This window comes from Homo sapiens, chromosome 4 (assembly GCF_000001405.40).
Source record: "Homo sapiens chromosome 4, GRCh38.p14 Primary Assembly".
Taxonomy (NCBI): Eukaryota; Metazoa; Chordata; class Mammalia; order Primates; family Hominidae; genus Homo; species Homo sapiens.
In genome coordinates, this window is record NC_000004.12 from 40,530,406 (window position 1) to 40,550,961 (window position 20,556).

Sequence of the window (20,556 nt, forward strand, 5' to 3'; positions counted from 1 at the left end):
CAATTCTCCTGTCTCACCTCCTAAGTAGCTGGGACTACAGGCACACGCCATCGCACCCAGCTAATTTTTATATTTTTAGTAGAGATAGGGTTTCACTATATTGGCCAGGCTGGTCTTGAACTCCTGACCTGTGATCCACCCGTCTCGGCCTCCCAAAGTGCTGGGATTACAGGCGTGAAGCACCGCGTCCAGCCCTATTTTTCTTCTTTTTAATCTGAATTTAAATAGCCATGTGTGGCTAGGGACTTCCGTACTGGACATCACAGGTCTAAAATAATTATTATAATCTGGATGAAAAATATGTCACATTCATTCTGTCACTTTTCCTTCTTTTGCCTATGGCAAAAACCACTATGATCACAGGACTCTTTTTCCTTTGAACATGGGCAGGCTTTCAGAATTCTCCATGCAAGGCGAGGCACGGTGGCTCACACCTGCCACCCTAGCACCTTGGGAGGCTGAAGTGGGAGGATCCTTGGAGCCCAGGAGTTGGGGACCAGCTTGGGCAACATAGTGAGACCTGTCTCTACAAAAAGCAAACAAAATTAGCTGGGCATGGGGGTGCATGCGTGTAGTCCCAGCTACTCAGAAATTGAGGCAGGAGGACTGTTTGAGCCCTGGAGGTAGAAGCTACAGTGAGCCATGATCGCGGCAGTGCGCTCCAGCCTGGGTGACAGAGTAAGACTCTGGAATAAATAAATAAAATAGAATTCTCTATGCAACCATTGTCAATGGCATGGACTTGGTTTACATAAAACGAAACCTGTTTGCCATTCCCGATGCAGATTAAAAAAGGTGACAAAGGTGACCTGGAGAAGGAAGGAGTTGAGGTGAGCTTCAGATGAGATCGGGAGTGATCAGGGTGGTCTGGCCACAGACTAGCTGAGCTTCAAAGGATAACATCTGGAGAGATAAAGAGGAAAGGACAAAGAGTATGGGGTTCTCTGTATAGAGGAGAGTAGCTGCGAAGGAGCTGAATGGAGCTCCCCTGGTCCTAGGACAAGGAGGATGCTGGCCTGCCAAGCAGAGAGGGTTGGGTTGGGTGTGGTTGGAGATAAGGGGATAGGCGGAAGGGTGGGTCTGGGTTATGACTTTGAAATTCCAGGACACCCTGAGGGTTTCAGAGGAGCCTGGAGAACACATTTTAGAAAGGCAACTCTGATAGCTAGGCACAGATAGGTTGTACAATGGACATGCGCTCAGATACCAGGGTGAAGGCTATGCCAGTAATGATGTGTGTTTTTCCTTTAGGAAAATAAAACTTGTTTATTATGTAAAATGTATAAATGTCAGAAAAGCAGATATAAAAAAATTAAAATCAGATGTCTACCAACCACAGATGACATTTTGATGTGGTTTCTTACAGTTTTTTTCCTCCTTCTCTGGCTAGTGCAGTAATTTAGGAATTAACATTATGACTTGAACTAGGAAGATGGTAGTGCGAATGAAGAGGAAAGGCCGTGAAAGATATCGTTAAGTGAGGCAGGGGGGTGAGGACAAAAGAGAATTAGCTTCCAAAGACAGGAGTTCTAGACCTGGGTATTCTGTGGGGCCTGAACTCCCAGCCTTGGTTTTGCCATACATCAATCTCTCTCTTTTTTTTTTATCTTTTTTTTTTTTTTTGAGATGGAGTCTTGCTCTGTCACCCAGGCTGGAGTGCAGTGGCGCAGTCTCAGTTCACTGCAACCTCTACCTCCTGGGTTCAAGAGATTCTCCTGCCTCAGCCTCTCAAGTAGCTGGGACTACAAGTGGGAGCCACCATGCCCGGCTAATTTTTTGTATTTTTAGTAGAGACGGGGTTTCACTGTGTTAGCCAGGATGGTCTCGATCTCCTGACCTCGTGATCCACCTTCCTCAGCCTCCCAAAATGCTGGGATTACAGACGTGAGTCACCACGCCCGGCATTTTTTTTTTTTTTTTTTTTTTGAGATGGAGTCTTGCTCTGTCACCAGGTTGGAGTGCAGTGGCACGATCTCGGCTCATTACAACCTCCACCTCCTGGGTTCAAGTGATTCCCCTGCCTCAGCCTCCCGAGTAGCTGGGACTACAGGCATGTGCCACCACACCCAGCTAATTTTTTGTATTTTAGTAGAGACAGGGTTTCACCATGTTGGCCAGGATGGTCTTGATCTCCTGACCTCATGATCCACCCGCCTCAGCCTCCCAAAGTGCTGGGATTACAGGCGTGAGCCACCATGCCTGGCCTTTTTAAAAAAAATATTATTCTTTTTCCTTTTTTTTTTCTTTTTAAATATTTTTTTCCATTTTTTTTTTGAGACGCCTGGCCCATACGTCAATGTCTTAACCACTTCTTATTGGAGTCTAATTAAAGGTCAGATGAGATTTTTGAGACCCCCTTCAACTAACGTACAGATATGTCTGTGTATATTTAAAGTGAACATCACATATAAATAGAAGTAGTTGTCATAACACCACACAAGATCCCTTGATCTCTAGGCTATACCAGTAGCTTATAGCCTCTTGCAATCTGCAAAATTTTAGGGGTAGAGTAATTAAACTTTCTATTCTGAGCAGTGTTACAAAGAGGATCTGTAGCTGTAGTTCATGGGACAGGATATGAATGGGGCAGTGTAAACAGAGAATTCACTTTCAGACAGGACTCCACCAAGCAGAAATAGCTTCTTCCTAGGAGCCAAAAGGTTTTCAAAGCCCAATACATCTTTGAAGACTATAAGAAAAACAATAGTAAAAACAGCTGCTAGGGAATACAGATTATGCTCTCTGAGGCCAGATGCAGTGGCTTACACCTGCAATCCCAGCACTCTGGGAGACCAAGGTAGGCGGTTCACCTGAAGTCAGGAGTTCAAGACCAGCCTGGCCAACATGGTGAAACCCCATCTCTACTAAAAATACAAAAATTAGCTGGGTGTGGTGGTGCATGCCTGTAGTCTCAGCTACTTGGGAGGCTGAGGCAGGAGAGTCACTTGAACTCGGGAGGCAGAAGTTGCAGTGAGCTGAGACCGCACCACTGCACTCCAGCCTGGGAAACAGAGCAAGACTCTGTCTCAAAAGAAAAAAAAAAAAAAAGAAGAAGGGAAAAAAAAGCTCTCAGGTAGGAAAGAGCAATACAAAGACATTCATCAGGCCAATAAGCAAAAGTTTACACCAGAGGTTATCTATACATTTTTAAAAAATACTGATTCCTGGGCTCCCCTTCAGACCAATTAAATCAGAGTCTCAGTAAGTGTTGTCTGTGAATTGATTTGTCTTATTTTGTTTTATTTTTTGAGACTGGATCTCAGTCTGTCACCCAGGCTAGAGTGCAGTGGCAAAAACATGGCTCACTATAGCCTCGACTTCCCGGGCTCAAATGATCCTTGCATCCTAGACCCTTGCCACTCCCTCTCCCCAGTAGCTGGGACTACAGGTGCGTGCCACCATGCCTGGTTAATTCTTTTTTTTTTTTGAGATGGAGTTTTACTATTATTGCCCAGGCTGGAGTGCAATGGTGTGATCTCAGCTCACCACAACCTCTGCCTTCCAGGTTAAAGCGATTCTCCTGCCTCAGCCTCCCGAGTGGCTGGGATTACAGGCATGCACCACCACGCCCGGCTAATTCTGTATTTTTAGTAGAGATGTGGTTTCCCCGTGTTGGTCAGGCTGGTCTCAAACTCCCAACCTCAGGTGATCCACATGCCTCGGCCTCCCCAAAGTGCTGGGATTACAGGCATGAGCCACCATGCCTGGCGCCTGGCTAATATTTTTTAATTTATTTTTTTTTTAGAGATGGGGTCTCACTATGTTGCCCAGGCTGGTCTTGAACTCGTGGGCTGAAGTGATTCTTCCACCTCAGCCACCCACAGTGCTGGGATTACAGGCCTGAGCCACCATGCCTAGCCTGGTAATTTTTTAAAATTCACAACATGATTGAAACTTGAAACACAAGAAGATGCCCTGGAGAAAAAACAGTTCAAGGGACAGCAGAGCAGCTGGGATCCACACTGTGCCCTTAGCCACCTGGGTTAAGGGTTACAGCAAGTTCCTTAGTGATGTGGGAGCTAGAGGCCAAAATAGAACCCACCAATACATTTTATAATTGCATATTACACTCCGTATAGCTAAAATTCAGGGTGTAGATTCCATGATTTTCAATGCATCCTTTGGTCATTTTCACTGAACTGTGAGTTAGCGAACTCCTGGGGACCTGGTCAGAATGTCGATGGACATACCTTTTTCTGAGAATCCCTTGGCCCTCTAAGGAGCTGGTAGTTAAAAAATGCAAACTCGGCCGGGTGCGGTGGCTCACGCCTGTAATCCCAGCACTTTGGGAGGCCGAGGCAGGCGGATCACGAGGTCAGCAGATAAAGACCATCCTGGCTAACACGGTGAAACCCCATCTCTACTAAAAATACAAAAAAATTAGCCAGGCATGGTGGCGGGCGCCTGTAGTCTCAGCTACTCTGGAGGCTGAGGCAGGAGAATGGCGTGAACCCGGGAGGCGGAGCTTGCAGTGAGCCGAGATCGTGCCAGTGCACTCCAGCCTGGGCGATGGAGCAAGACTCCGTCTCAGAAAAAAAAAAAAAAAAAAATGCAAACTCGCCTCAGACTGACGTAGGTATGTGAGCCAGCTCTGCCATGCATGAACTGTATGACCTTGTGTGAGTTCCCTGTTGTCTTTTAAGTCTGTTTTCTTATTGACAAAATAGGAATCCTAGCCCCTTCTTTAGAGATTATGGAAGAGATCAAATGAGGCTATACAAGTAAAACTGATAATACAAGTAAAAGACTTCCTTATGCCTGGCATATAGTGAACCCTCAGTAAATGTAAATCATCATTATTTTCTTAAGACCTCTAGGGTTCCTTACAACTCCAATATTTTAAGATTCCAAGAATCACTGATTACACAGGTATAGATGAACAAAAATCAGTGGGTACTGACATGCCTAGACTGAAAGGCCTGGTTTGTGTTCAGCACCTTTTCATACCAGCCTGGTATGGTATTTCTTTTTTTTTTTTTTTTTTTGAGACGGAGCCTTGCTCTGTCACCCAGGCTGGAGTGCAGTGGCACATACCAGCTCACTGCAACCTCCGCCTCCCGGGTTCAAGCGATTCTCCTGCCTCAGCCTCCTGAGTAGCCGGGATTACAGGTGCCCACCACCACGTCTGGCTAATTTTTGTATTTTTTTTTTTCGTTTTTGTTTTTGTATTTTTCAGACGGAGTCTAGCCCTGTCGCCCAGGCTGGAGTGCAGTGGCGAGATCTCGGCTCACTGCAACCTCCACCTCCCGGGGCAAGCGATTCTCCTGCCTCAGTCTACCGAGTAGCTGGGATTACCAGCGCCTGCCACCACCCCCAGCTACTTTTTGTATTTTGAGTAGAGACTGGGTTTCACCATGTTGACCAGGTTGGTCTTGAACTCCTGACCTTATGATCCGCCCACCTTGACCTCTCAAAGTGCTGGGATTACAGGCATGAGCCACCACACCTGGCCTCGTATATATTTTTTTTCCCCCTCATAGAGATGGGGTTTCACCATGTTGGCCAGGCTGGTCTCAAACTCCTGACCTCAGGTGATCCACCCGCCTTGGCCTCCCAGAGTGCTGGGATTACAGGCGTGAGCCACTGCGCCCAGCCTCTGGTATGGTATTTCAATGCCCACTTCATTCTTTGCTTGAGGTGTCACTTGTATTTTGCTGACCTTGTTCTTAGTTTCAAATAACTCATTTATTTTGCAGACATAGAAATTTTGTCATTCTTTATGAAAGCAATGCGGCTGTTCTACTGCTACTTCTTGGCAGGCAACACCTGCATAGAAACCAATGAGCATGGCTGAAGTGAATGTCAGACATTCTATTTCTGTCTGCCCACGGTGCAGCAACCACTGACACACTTGGGGCAACCTGCTTTACCCAAAGTGCAGCCCGGGATGAGGCCCCACCTCAGCAGAACTTTGATGCATGTCTAATGACTGGCTTGGAGACCTTGTTCTTGGAAACTACAGGGCTGACATTTAAGTATCACCCATGAAATTTGCCTCAAGGTTCAACGCTGACATTAGCTACCAATTTCGGCTTCATAACCTTGGAGTATTCTCTTTGCTTTCTAGAGCATTAAATACCATCCTACAAAGCATAAAGCCATTATTGACCTGTTATTCTGCCAAAAGACACATACACTTTGTTGATGCCCACAATTTTCTTTTTCTTCCTCTATGGTAGGTCCAGACCTCTTCCGTTTAGGTAGACAGGCCTCCTTTTGTAGGTAATTGTCTGCTTCCCTGCCATGTTATTGGTTGAGTCATGGCTCATATCCACCTCTCTGCCTTTGCAGTTTTTGGTGTGTGTGTGTGTGTTTTTGTTTTTTTTTTATTGTTGTTGTTGACAGAGTCTCGCTCTGTCATCCAGGCTAGAAAGCAGTGGCATGATCTCAGCTCACTATAACTTCTGCCTCCCAGGTTCAAGCAATTCTCCTGCCTCAGCCTCCTTAGTAGCTGGGATTACAGACAGCTGCCACCACGCCAGGCTAAGTTTTTGTATTTTTAGTAGAGATGAGGGGTTTCACCATGTTGGCCAGGCTGGTCTCAAACTCCTGATCTCAAATGATCTGCGCCCAGCCTGCCTTTTCAGTTTTGAAAATAGGTTATCTTGTTTGGCAAATAGCAAGACATCAAAGAGCACACAGACAAAGTAACTAACCACTAGATCTATGAAACTTTTGCCCACATGAATGAACTAATTTTATTTTATGTTATTTATTTATTTTTGAGACAGGGTCTCACTCTGTTGCCCAGGCTGGAGTGCAGTGGCATAATCATGGCTCACTGCAGCCTTGACCTCATAGGCTCAAGCAATCGTCCCACCTCAGCCTCACAAGTAGCTGGGGCTACAGGGATGCACCACCATGCCCAGCTATTTTTTTTTTCTTAAGACAGCATCTCTCTCTGTCTCCAAGACTGGAGTGTGGTGCCTCCATCTCAGCTCACTGCAGCCTTGACTGAGCCTCCGGGTCAGGAGATCCTCCTGAGTAGCTGGGACTACAGGTGCAAGCCACCACACCTGGCTAATTTTTGTAGAGATAGGGTTTCACCATTGCCCAGGCTGGTCTTGAACCCCTGGGTTCAAGCAATCTGCCTGCCTCAGCCTCCCAAAGTGCTGGGATTCCAGGCGTGAGCCACCATACCTGGCCTAATTTTTAAATTTTTTTGTAGAGACACGATCTCACTGTGTTGCCCAGGCTGATGAACTGATTTTAAAAGGGCAAATCATTAAGTTTGGAATTAGCCTTAAACTCACTGCTCTTACACTCTACCAAAAACCATTTTTCCAAATATCTGTTTGGGTCCAGAAAGCAGATCTCAGCAACATCTTAGCTTTTACAGGAAGGCTTTGTGATGAAGTCACTGGTTGTCTGTATTCACCATGGGCTAAATGTAAATTCGGCGCAATTACTCTGACAAGTCTTTTTTTTCCTTCTTTTTTTTTTTTTAGATGCGATGTCACTGTTTTGCCCAGACTAGAGTGCAGTGGCACAATCATAAATCACAGCTCACTGCAGCCTTGAACTCCTGGACTCAAGTGGTCCTCATGCCTCAGCCTCCCAAGTAGCTAGGACTACAGGCGTGTGCGTGTGCCACCATGCCCAGCTACATCAAGTCTTGGAAAGTTCTTCAGTCTGCATCATAGTGGTAATTATACATTTATGTTTATAAACAGCAAAGGACTTCAGGGTTACTTTTGCATAAGTTTTCAATACCAGCAGGCTCCATACCTAAATTAACACTGACGTCAAATTTGATCAGAGATCAGGCAGAAGGAAAGAAAAGGGAGAGGTCCAGACAAGAGGGTAGTGAATATACTCCCTGGCAAATCTGGATACAGATGAGAAAAGGGATCCAGTAACTTCTACTGCATTTTCAAATATACCATTACATATGTGAGGTAGGATGCTCTTTTATTGGTATTGTTTTTTTTTTTTTTTTTGAGACAGAGTCTTGCTCTGTCGCCAGGCTGGAGTACAATGGCACGATCTCAGCTCACTGCAACCTCCGCCTCCCGGGTTCAAGCGATTCTCCTGTCCCAGCCTCCCAAGTAGCTGGGACTAGAGGCGCACGTCACCACGGCCAGCTAATTTTTGTATTTTTAGTAGAAACAGGGTTTCACTACGTTGGCCAGGATGGTCTCGATCTTTTGACCTTGTGATCTGCCCGCCTTGGCCTCCCAAAGTGCTGGGATTATAGGTGTAAGCCATGGCGCCCAGGCTTTTTTGTTTTTTGTTTGTTTGTTTGTTTTGAGACGGAGTCTTGCTCTGTTGTCCAGGCTGGAGTGGAGTGGCACAATCTTGGTTCACTGCAGCCTCTGCCTCCTGGGTTCAAGTGATTCTCCTGCCTCAGCCCAAGTAGCTGACATTACAGATGTGCACCACAACACCCAGCTAATTTTTTTGTATTTTTAATAGAGACAGGGTTTCACCATGTTGGCCAGTCAGTTTCGAACTCCTGACCTCAAAAGATCTGCCTGCCTTGGCCTCCCAAAGTGCTGAGATTACAGATGTGAGCCACTGTGCCCAGCCATGTTTCTTATTAACTAAATGTTTAAATGCTCATTCTTAAACTCTGCTGGGGCCAGGATAGTGGTCTGATTTATCTTTGTATCCCTCACACACTTGTTCCAGTATCTTTTATATGATGGTCCTATGTAGATTTAATTTAAATCAAATTAAATTATAGGCCACTTTCCCCTTCTTTGTAGTAAAAAGCTACATTGTACAAAATAAACAGTACCAAGTAATGTGTAATGGAAAAAAAAATCTCTTCCATTTTCAAGTGAAGAAGCAGAAAACTCGTTTTTAGAAGCTGCCTTTTGGGATTGCCTTGAGCAGCCTGGGGTCATTTTGTGACAGTTCCCTACCAGTGGTTGGCCAAGGAAAAGTCAATGTGTTTTAGCTCAGTTGTTTGACCTTTGGGTGTATTTGCTCTTTAGTAAGCATCCCTCATATGGACCACATGAGTTTTACCTGAAGTCTTAACTGGGTTAGAGTCTGCCTTTTTGAAACAACATGATGAGGAGGCCATTTTCCAAAAGGTGTATCTTCTAAGCCAGGCACGGTGACTCGTGCCTGTAATCCCAGCACTTTGGGAGGCCGAGGCAGGTGGATCACCTGAGGTCAGGAGATCGAGACCAGCCTGGCCAACATGGTGAAACACGTCTCTACTAAAAATACAAAAATTAGCCGAGCGTGGTGGCAGGTGCCTATAATCCCAGCTACTCGGGAGGCTGAGGCAGGAGAATCACTTGAACCTGAGAGGCAGAGGTTGCAGTCAACCGAGATTGTGCCACTGCACTCCAGCCTGGGCGACAGAGCAAGACTCTGTCTCAAAAAAAAAAAAAAAAAAAAAAAAAAAAAAGATATATCTTCTAGTAATTATTAGGTTATTAGGATAGGGATTTTAGGAAAATCTATTTCTAAGAGATCTGTGACTTCACTAAATGAGCTACAATTCCAAAATATGAAGAGCCATTTACCAAAGAAACAATGTCTTCACCAGGCCACGTTTTCCTCCTTTTCAAATGCAACTTGCATTTTCAACTTGTGAGTTAAATAATATCTACCTCTTAATTTATTAACTTACTTGGAATGAAAATCTAGGCTATGATTAGTAGGAAAGGGTAAGGACTCCAAATGTTTTACTATTTTTATTTTACTTAAAGTTCCCATCAGGAGCCCTGTGGTATTTCCTCCTCTAATCTTTCCTACAGATCGCCACCATCTAACTTCAGGTGCCATGTTGATCAAGGAAAATATGCTTGCTGTGGCTTGAGAAAAATCAAGGCCCCAATCTAAACACTTTACATGGTATGTCTCAAAACATCACTATGTACCTCATGAGTATGTACAATTATCATTTGTCAATGAAATAAAATAAAATTTAAAAAAGAAATTAACCAAAAGAGAATATAAGAAGGATGTTAAAATTCTTTGTTAAAAATAAACAGGCTGGGCACAGTGGCTCACCCCTGTAATCCCAGCACTTTGGGAGGCCGAGGTGGGAGGATCACCTGAGGTCAGGAGTTCAAGACCAGCCTGACCAACATGGAGAAACCCCATCTCTACTAAAAATACAAAATTAGCCAGGCATGGTGGCGCATGCCTGTAATCCCAGCTACTCAAGAGGCTGAGGCAGGAGAATTGCTTGAAGCCAGGAGGCGGAGGTTGCAGTGAGTCAAGATCACGCCATTGACTCCAGCCTAGGTAACAGGAGTGAAACTCTGTCTCAAAAAAAAAAAAAAATAATAATAATAATAATAATAATAATAAATGGGGAATAATGGGGAAAAAACCCTACTATTTTTTTCCTTATAGAACTATATAGGTTTTTTTCTCCTTCAGTTGGGTTTTTTAATTTATATATTTTATTTATTTATTTATTTATTTGGTTTTTTTAATCAGCTAACTTTAAGATTCATTATTTACATTTTGCCAGGAATTTTTCCATATAACCTAAATGTCAAGCTTATTGATATAAATCATATATAATATCCTCATTCTATTCTTTGTATTGTGAAATAAGCTCTATATAAGGTCATAAAACAAATAAACATCTCAAAGAAAGTCAGGAAATGACCTGGACTTTTTTTGAATCAAGCCAGGCACAGTGGGTCACACTTGCAATCCCAGCACTACGGGAGGCTACGACAAGCGGATCGCTTGAGCCCAGGAGTTCAAGACCAGCCTGGGAAACATGGCGAGACCTCATCTCTATAAAAAATTAAAAATTAGCTGGGCCCAGCTACTCACGAGGCTGAGGAGGGAGAATTGCTTGAGCCCAGGAGTTCGAGGCTGCAGTGAGCCCTGATTGCACCACTGCATTCCAGCCTAGGTGACCGAGCAAGATTCTCTCAAAAAAAAAAAAAAAAAATCGCATCAAATTTACTCATAACTAAGAAATCAGCAAGCTTGAGAAGGCCAGTTCCATGGAATTAGGGTTCCTTTTGTGTATACATGAACATGTGTAAATTTCTGCATCCGTCAGTTCAGTAACTGGCCAAAGGGCGCCAGCTCAGCAGTACTCTTGATAGAAAATGTCAACACTGCTGGGTGTGGTGGCTCACGCCTGTAATCCCAGCACTTTGGGCGGCAGAGGTGGGTGGATTCCCTGAGGTCAGGAGTTCGAGACCAGCCTGGCCAACATGGTGAAAACCCCATCTTTACTAAAAATACAACAAATTAGCCGGTGTGGTGGCGCATGCCTATAATCCCAGCTAGTCGGGAGGCTGAGGCACGAGAATTGTTTGAACCCGGGAGGCGGAGGTTGCAATGAGCCGAGATGGCACCACTGCACTCCAACTTGGGCAACAAGAGCAAAACTCTGTCTCAAAAAAAAAAAGAAAAAGAAAAAGAAAATGTCAACACAGAGCACTAAGGTTTGAAACCTGAGAATCTCACACGTTCAAAGCACAAGTAGAGTCAAGTAGCTGGTTCAAGTAGCTGCCTCTGTTCATTCTATTTAAAGCATTATTTTTTAAATCCTGCCCTTGGTGGGAGAATCGTACACATACATTGACTATGTCGATGATCACCTTTCCTGGATGCCATCAAGGATGCAGAGACAAAGAAATGTGGACACATTGTCTGTGAAAACCACCTCTTACTAGAAGCTGATTACCTTCCTTGGGGAGGTAGGTGAGGTAAATTAAGAACATAGATTTGGGGAGAATTCAAAGGATTAGCAGGGGAGCAATACTTGGGCTCTAACTCTAGGGAATAATGCTGATACACAAGGTAAGATTTCTGTCTGAACCACAAAAACAAAAAAATCTGATCATCAGTCTGAAATCAATCTCTTTAAGAGGTTTTAAAGATTCTTCCAGAAATTTGACTAAGTTTTCATTTTACAAGAGACACCTGTTCTCTGAAGCCTCTCCCTCTCCCTTTCCCTTTCCCCCCATAGCTCATGCTATTCCTTGACCCCAACACTCTCTCCATACTGGGCCCCTGCAAAGGCTGTTTAATGTAGCCACTGCCGCCTGTCTCCAATCCCCCTCTGCCTATCCTCCAGGTCTCAGTTAGAATGCCATTCAAACTCCAAGCAACCTTCCCAATAGTCACCTCCTGACTCAGATTATGTTAGGTCCTCTTGTTTTTATTTATTTATTTTTTCGAGATAGGGTCTTGCTCTGTTGCCCTGGCTAGACTGCAGTGATGCAATCTTGGCTCACTGTAGCCTCAACCTCCCAGGCCTAAGCAATTCTCTCACTGCAGCCTCCCAAGTAGCTGGGACTATGGGTGCGTGCCAGCATACCCAGCTAATTTTTTATTTTCCAGTAGAGAATGGGATGACAATTTTTAAATTTTTGTAGAGACAGGTCTCATTATGTTGCCCAGGTTGGTCTTGAACTCCTGAGCTCAAGTGATCCTCTCACCCTGGCCTCCCTATGTGCTGGGATTGCAGGCGTGAGCCACTCTGGCTAGCTTAGGTTTTCTTGTTTTAGACTCTTAACTCCTTACAGTTCTTCATCAGCCCACTCATTACTCTGTTAATGTATTATTTAATATCTTCTGTGACTACTAAAGTAGCCCTGTGGGGACAGCAATCCTTTCTGTCCTAATTACTTCTTAATTATGCTACATCTAGCACAGAGCCTAGCACAGAGCCTGGCACATAGCAGGTGCTCAAAAAATGTTTGTTAATGGATTTACTTGTATCCCTACAGATCATGTACTATCACCTATAGGGTCTCATAACATGGAGGTTTTGCAAATGTTAAAGTCTGTCTCAATCAGGCAAATGTGGCTTAGGGAATCATGCCCATTCTGTGGCATTAACTCTCAAGATGCTATTTTTCTGCACATTTAACATGAACATGGATTTGGACTCTGCTTTCACGGATAAATGAACGAGTCACTCTGGGACATAGCATGGAGTGTTTTCATTGCAAACTCCTACCCGCTGATTGCAGGAGGGGAACCTTGGATAAGTGTCTGATTCTGGGATCTTATGTCTGGAAGGCTGCTTCATTATCTCACATGGGCTGTTCTGAGTGCCAGCGCCCACTATTTACAAGGTCCTTGGGGTGCTCATCTCAAGACTATCATATGAAGTCACCAAAAAAAAAAGTTTTTCTTTCAGTATTAGAAAACTAAATTCTGGCTGGGTGTGGTGGCTCATGCCTATAATCCCAGCACTTTGGGAGGCTGAGGTGGGCAGATCACTTGAGGTCAGGAGTTTGAGACCAGCCTGGCCAACATGGTGAAACCCCATCTCGACTAAAAATACAATAATTAGCCAGGTGTGATGGTGCGTGCCTGTAGTCAGTCCCAGCTACTCGGGAGGCTGAGGCAGGAGAATCACATAAACCCAGGAGCAGAGGTTGCAGTGAGCCGAGATCGTGCCACTGCACTCCAGCCTGGGTGATAATGTGACTTCATTTCAAAAACAAAAACAAAAAAGGAAACCTAAATTCTTTCTTTGGTAAGCACAGACTTCTTACTAATCATCTACTCATCAGACTATGCATTTCTTACCCTTAAAAATTCAACCCTCTAAAAAGAAAAAAAAAAAAAAAACATTTGTATTGTGTGAAAAATAGAAGGTAGGGAATACTTAATGCTGGTCATTTGGGGATTATCAGAGAAATGCTGTATTTCACCAGACCTGTTTGCATAAGGTGCACCGAATTTCAGACATGTTAAATTGTATGTGTGAAGGGCGGGGGATGCATTCTAGTTGATGATATGCAGTAATGCTACAGGAAGAACCCACCACCAGACATTTTCATGAAATCAGTATTAAAAGAGTTTCACTGAAATCATTCAAATACACCTCTGTCATTCTTTTTGGCTGTGGGAGTCCTCTGAGGACATTTGTGCTTACAAACATACAGGGCACTCTGGCCTAGTAAATTAAACAAACACAACAACAATACGTTTGTAAAAACAAAAACAAAGGGGGGTGGCAAGGATTAGCATTTTGATGTCGCTATGTGATGTTCACCCACTTTTCTCCCCCGCCACCGGGTTATGTGCATTTGAGTCATGGTGAAGATGATGCCAACTTACCAAACCTCCTCAGTGAGCCAAGGATTGCTGATCTCTGCTGGGTGACCTGACGCAGAGTCTCTTTCCAAGGCCTCCGTTACCTGAGCTGTGAAATGAAAAAAATAACACTACTGACCCAAAGGCTGGTATTGAGAAGTCCAAAGTTAGTGATCACTAAATGGAACTGGGAGAGCGGGTGAGAAGAAGGAACATGGTGTTTTGCTATTATCACAGGCCGTTGTGTGTGCCTGGAACTACAAGGGAAGCTACATAACCAGGCAATATAGGAAATCTCCACTGGTCACATCATTTTGCCAGCTCTGCAAGACTATTCCGTTTCATATTAATTAAAAGACACTCAAGGAAAGAAAATCTTACTATGACAAAGAGAGAAAGGAGAGCCTCATGCCTGTAATCACAGCACTTTGGAAGGCCGAGGCAGGAGCATCACTTTAAGCCCAGGAATTTGAGACCAACCTGGGCAATATAGTGAGAGCCTATCTCTACAAAAAAATTTAAAATTAGCTGGGCGCCCATGGTCCCAGCTTGTTGGAGGAGCTGAGGCGAGAGGATCACTTGAGCCTAGGAGTTCTGAGGCTGCAGTGAGCTATGATCGTGCACTCCAGCCTGGAAAACAGAGTGAGATCCTTTTTTTTTTTTTTTTTTTTTCAGACGGAGTCTCGCTCTGTCACCCAGGCTGGAGTGCAGTGGCGAGACCTCAGCTCACTGCAACCTCCGTCTCCCAGGTTCAAGCAATTCTCCTGCCTCAGCCTCCCAAGTAGCTGGGATTACAGGCATGCCCCACCATGCCCAGCTAATGTTTTGTATTTTTAGTAGAGACGGGGTTTCACCATGTTGGTCAGGCTGGTCTCGAACTCCTGACCTCATGATCTGCCCGCCTCAGCCTCCCAAAGTGCTGGGATTACAGGCGTGAGCCACGGCGCCCGGCCTGAGATCCTGTCTTTAAAAGAGAGAGAGAGAGGCCAGGCGCAGTGGCTCACACCTGTAATCCCAGCACTTTGGGAGCCCGAGGCAGGTGGATCACCTGAGGTCAGGAGTTCAAGACCAGCCTGACCAATATGGTGAAACCCCATCTCTACTAAAAATACAAAAATTAACCAGGCGTGGTGGTGGGCACCTGTAGTCCCAGCTACTCAGGAGGCTGACACAGGAGAACTGCTTGAACTCGGGAGGCGGAGGTTGCAGTGAGCCAAGATCACGCGATTGCTCTCCAGTCTGGGCAACAAGAGCAAGGCTCCTTCTCAAAAATAAATAAATAAATAAATAAATAAATAAATAAATAAAAGAGAAAGAGAGGGAGAGAAGAGGAAATGTATAAAAAGTGGACTAACAGGGAGGGGAAGCTCACAGGTTTGACCAGGTGCTCGAAACTCCACTCTACTGCTTGCTAGCTGGTTGATCTTGGGCATTTTACTCAGCCTCTCTGAACCTCTGAGTTTTTCTCATCTAATATGGGCCTAATAGTACCCATTTGTTGGAGACATTGTGACAAGAGATATGAAGCCTTTGGGGCCTAGCACACAGAGAAAATGTTCAATGAAGGGCGGCTATGATTATTATGTTCATTTAAAATTCTTTCTGCAGAGGCACATTAAATTCAAAATCATTTAAATCACTATGAGTTGTGTTAGTTTTAAATGTTCCTTCACCTTGGAAGCCCTCTACAGCTGGCTTTTCTGCCTATACACAAATAATATTCTCTAACAATTCAGTTTCATATTTTTAAGTAAATACTTTTTTTTTTTCCAGATGGAGTTTCCCTCTTGTCACCCAGGCTGGAGTGCAGTGGCATGATCTCAGCTCACTGCAACCTCCGCCTCCCGGGTTCAAGTGATTCTCCCACCTTAGCCTCCCAAGTAGCTGGGATTACAGGCATGCACCACCACTCCGGGCTAATTTTGTATTTGTAGTAGAGATGGGGTTTCACCATGTTGGTCAGGCTGGTCTTGAACTCCTGACCTCATGTGATCCACCCGCCTCAGCCTCCCAAAGTGCTGGGATTACAGCAAGTAAATACTTTTGATTAGCTAGGTTCAGTGTAGAAGATTTTATTATACTACTGTTCCACCAAGAATAAATAAAGCTGTGACAAATGTCTCATTCCTGCGATCCCCTCCAAGAAAGACTACAACGTACCTCTTGGATAAGAAAATACTGGGCTATGCTAACTCCTGCAGTCCAGCTCAGTAATCATTTGTTCCAAAGTTCTTCCCAATGCAATGGCCAAATTAACTAAGGTTGAGCTTCTGATTAACATACAGTGCTGGAAGGAACTTTGACCCACAGAAACCTGGCATTTGACTTGCTTCGGTGAGTCCAACCTGTGTCACGAGTGCCTGTTTCAAGGGTAATAAAGGACCTGGCTGTTTGCTTACAGCAAATGGAGGTGGTGCCATGTCATTATACAGCTTTTACCTCTCCTGTCCACCTAACCCTTGGCAAATAAAGTCTGCAGCCCACACATCAGTTTTTGGAGTGATAGAATGAAAAAGGGTATGGATTTCCAAACTGAAAAGCACCTAAGTTCTACCTGGCATTCTGACTAAATGTTAGCTGCTTAAGAAACATGAATATGGTACCAAGATCAAAGGGACCAGAGTAGAGATCAGGTGTTTGAGCAGGTGCATATTATAACCATCCAAATTGTGCCTCAGTGAACAAACTGCTCTCTCTGCTAGCTCCTGGGTTCCCTTTTAGTGACATGTTATAAAACAGGAATCAGATGCAAGGAACAGACCACAGTACTAGAGAGTTCATGTCTCTTCCTGTTCTAGGATATACAGTGCCCCTCCCTGCCCTGCCAAATTCATAAATTCAAGGTCTAACCCCTAGTATCTCACAATGTGACTATATTTGGAGACAGGGTCTTTAAATGGGTAATTAAGATTAAATGAGGTCACGGGGATGGGCCCTAATGCAATATAACCAGTGTCTTCATAAGAAGAGGAAATTCAGACACAGACAACACAGACCGAGGGATGACTGTGTGAGGGCACAGTGAGTGGGCAGCCATCTGCAAGCCAGGCAGAAAAGCCTCCAGGTAAACAAACCCTGCTGTCACCTTGATCTTGGACTTCCAGCCTCCACAACCATGAGAAAATAAATGTCTGCTGTTAAAGCCACTTGGTCCATGGTATTTTGTTATGGCAGCCTAAACAAAGAAATACACTGCCCCTCCCCACATCCCCCAACCTCATCTCCCAGGACCAGATGAGTCGCAGATGAGTAAGGAGGTCAAGGGCATGATAATCAGAGTGGATTAACTGTGCAATTAAACAGTGGTAAACAGGAGAGCACATGCTCTATCCAAAGGTATCAAATTCAAAAAACTTAAAATACTATGAGGCCATACAAAAGACGGCTATGGCTTGATGATGCCCTTCAGGTTGCAATTCCTGAGCTAAACCATTACAGTATGATATTTAAAAACACCCATTATTAATGCTTTCAACAAATATGAAATGAATGCCTCCTACAGGCCAGGCCCTATGCCAGGCAATGGCAATAGCAGTGGTGAATATGTTCTCTGCCTTTGTGGTATTACAGTGTGGATAGTGAGTCCAGGTGCTGAGCTGGGCTAGAAATGTCAAGTTGAGAAGACAAAGTCATTGCCCTCCAGGAGGGTACAGATTAGTGGAGCACAGAGTTGGGACGAGACCATTATAAAACAACGTGACACCAGCTCTAATCCACAAGGGGCCCTGGAAGCTGGGAAGAAGATGATCCCATGTCTGTGTCAATCAGGGAACATGTGAGCCAAGTCCTGAAGGATGAATAACAGTTTACCCGGCAGACACATCTGAAAGACAAGAGGGCATTTTCCAGACAGAACAGTCAGTTCCTGGTGCAGGGACATAAGAGCGTACAGGATCTCTGGAGAACGACAATGAGCTGAGCACAGCCAGGGTGAAGACGGGCAGGGGAGAGCAACAGGACGTGCCGCTGCCAAGGCAAGGAACCAGGAGCCCACATTTGATTGCCGAGGGAGCCATCGGAGAATTTTAATCAGGAAGGTGACATCACCAGAACTGCATGTTAGAAGGATCACTCTGACCACAATGCAGAGGAGGGCTAAAGGCAGGGCGACCTGTCTGGAGACAAAGAAGGCAGGAAATAGGGAAACAGACATAGGGATGCTTGCCGGTCAAGGTCAGTCATCATGGCGTTCAGCTGCAGCCACGGGTGACACTGCCCAAGGGCATTATGTAGGGAAAGAGAAGCCCTGGCTTTTAAATCTGAGTACATATTACTTTTTTTTTTTTGAGACAGAGTTTTGCTCTTGTCACCCAGGCTGTAGTGCAATGGCACCATCTCGGCTCACTGCAACCTCTGCCTCCTGGATTCAAGGGATTCTCCTGCCTCAGCCTCCCAAGTAGCTGGGATTACAGGCACATGCCACCATGCCAGTTAATTATTGTATTTTTAGCCGAGACAGGGTTTCACCATGTGGGCCATACTGGTCTTAAACTCCTGAGCTCAAGTGATCCGCCCAACTTGGCCTCCCAAAGTGCTGGGATTACAGGCATGAGCCACTGTGCCTGGCCTGGGTACATATTATTATGATCAATGAGAAAATGAGTTTCTTAAGAAACTTTTAATTTCACTTATCCTCATCAGGAAACTAACCTTACTCATTCTTTTTATCAATCAAAAGCCACACATGACTGTACCTCAGTTTCTTTTTTTTTGGGGGGGGGGACACAGAGCCTTGCTCTGTTGCCCAGACTAGAGTGCAGTGGCATAATCTGCAACCTCCGCCCCCTGGGTTCAAGCGATTCTCCTGCCTCAGCCTCCCGAATAGCTGGAACTACAGGCACGCACCACCGTGCCCAGCTAATTTTTGTATTTTTAGTAGAGACAGGGTTTCACCATGTTAGCCAGGCTGGTCTCAAACTTCTGACCTCAAGTGATCCACCTGCCTCTGCCTCCCAAAGTGCTGGGATTACAGGCGTGAGCCACCACGCCCAGCCAGTACCTCAGTCTCCCTCTTATTTTCCTCAGTCTGTAAGTAAGGATAATAATAGCACTTCCCTTAGAGGGAGGATTCCTTAAGTTAAATAATACGAGTACATAGGTGCAATAAATGTTTTTTTTGTTTGTTCGTTTTTTTTTTTTTTTTGAGATGAAGTCTCGCTCTGTGGCCCAGGCTGGAGTACAGTGGCATGATCTCGGCTCACTGCAACCTACGCCTCCCGGGTTCAAGCAATTCTCCTGCCTCAGCCTCCCAAGTAGCTGGGATTACAGGTGTGTGGCACCATGCCCAGCTAATTTTTTTTTGAGACGGAGTCTCACTCTGTCGCCCAGGCTAGAGTGCAGTGGCGCAATCTCAGCTCACTGCAACTTCCGCCTCCCGGGTTCAAGCAATTCTCCTGCCTCAACCTCCCAAGCAGCTGGTATTACAGGCGTGTGCCACCACGCCTGGCTAATTTTTGTATTTTTAGTAGAGACAGGGTTTCACCATGTTGGTCTCGAACTCCTGACCTTGTGATCCACCCGCCTCGGCCTCCCAAAGTGCTGGGATTACAGGTGTGAGCCACCGTGCGCAGTAATAAATGTTAAATACAGCAGAAATAAATATTAAAGAACAAATGGGAAATTAATGATTGTTCAGTTAATGACAGTTCTCCCTCTCCATGAATATTAGCCAGAGGATAACCACCACCACAGCCACAAAGGGTCAAACCCAACAGAGCTGTCTTGGAACGAAGCTGGGTTTGATTTCCTTGCATCTCTCCCGAATTCTCACATGGTCTCCTACACAAGACCATAAATTTTGTGCATGATCATTACTTTAAAGTTATAAAATGCTTTGTGTCAGGTAAAATGTTCTCAACGATTAAAGATTAAAGGGGATGTGGGGCCTTCGAGGGGAGACTGACTGCAGAGGGGCATGAGAAAACTTTCCAGAGATGTTAGTTCCTACATCTTGATTGGGGTAGTGGTTTCACAGCTGGATACATGTGTTAAAAGTCACCACTGAAAATGTGGGAAGTTTATCATACGTAATTTTTTTTTGAGACAGAGTCTCACTCTGTCGCCCATGCTGGAATGTAGTGCTATGATCTCAGCTCACTGCAACCTCATCCTCCTGGGTTCAAGTGATTCTCCTGCCTCAGCCTCCAGAGTAGCTGGGACTACAGGTGCCCAGCACCATGCCCGGCTAATTTTTGTGTTTTTAGTAGAGATGGAGTTTCACCATGTGGGCCAGGCTGGTCTCAAACTCCTGACCTCAAGTGATCCGCCCACCTCAGCTTCCCAAAGTGCTGGGATTACAGGTGTGAGCCACCGCGCCTGGCCCTATCATATGTAAATTATACCTTAATAAAGATTGAAGGGACGGAAGATAGAGGAAAAAGGGATTCAAGGGGAAATGGGTATTTATATTCCAGAGAAGGAAAAAATAGATATGCATGAAGAAACTCGTCTTAAAACTTTTAATTTCCAAAATCATTCTCTCTTTGAATAGATGAAACTGTCAAGGAATGCAAAAAAAAAAAAACTTCCTTATGCAAGAAACATTTTGAAAAATTTAGACATCTT

General features: G+C 44.8%; 1 protein-coding gene across 32 annotated transcripts in view; it reads right to left on the reverse strand.

Moving 5' to 3' along the window:
• The window catches only part of RBM47 (RNA binding motif protein 47), a 207,573-nt gene that overhangs the window by 107,126 nt on the left and 79,891 nt on the right, over positions 1-20,556 (reverse strand). For 28 of the 32 annotated variants that reach the window (XM_017008310.3, XM_017008309.3, XM_005248103.5 and 25 more), the window contains one exon: positions 14,017-14,101. The exons of 3 other annotated variants lie outside the window; for them this stretch is intronic. The gene's annotated coding sequence lies outside the window, so the exon portion shown is untranslated. The remainder of the gene's footprint in view (positions 1-14,016; positions 14,102-20,556) is intronic. One more of the 32 variants, NM_001371114.1, reaches the window with a different exon arrangement.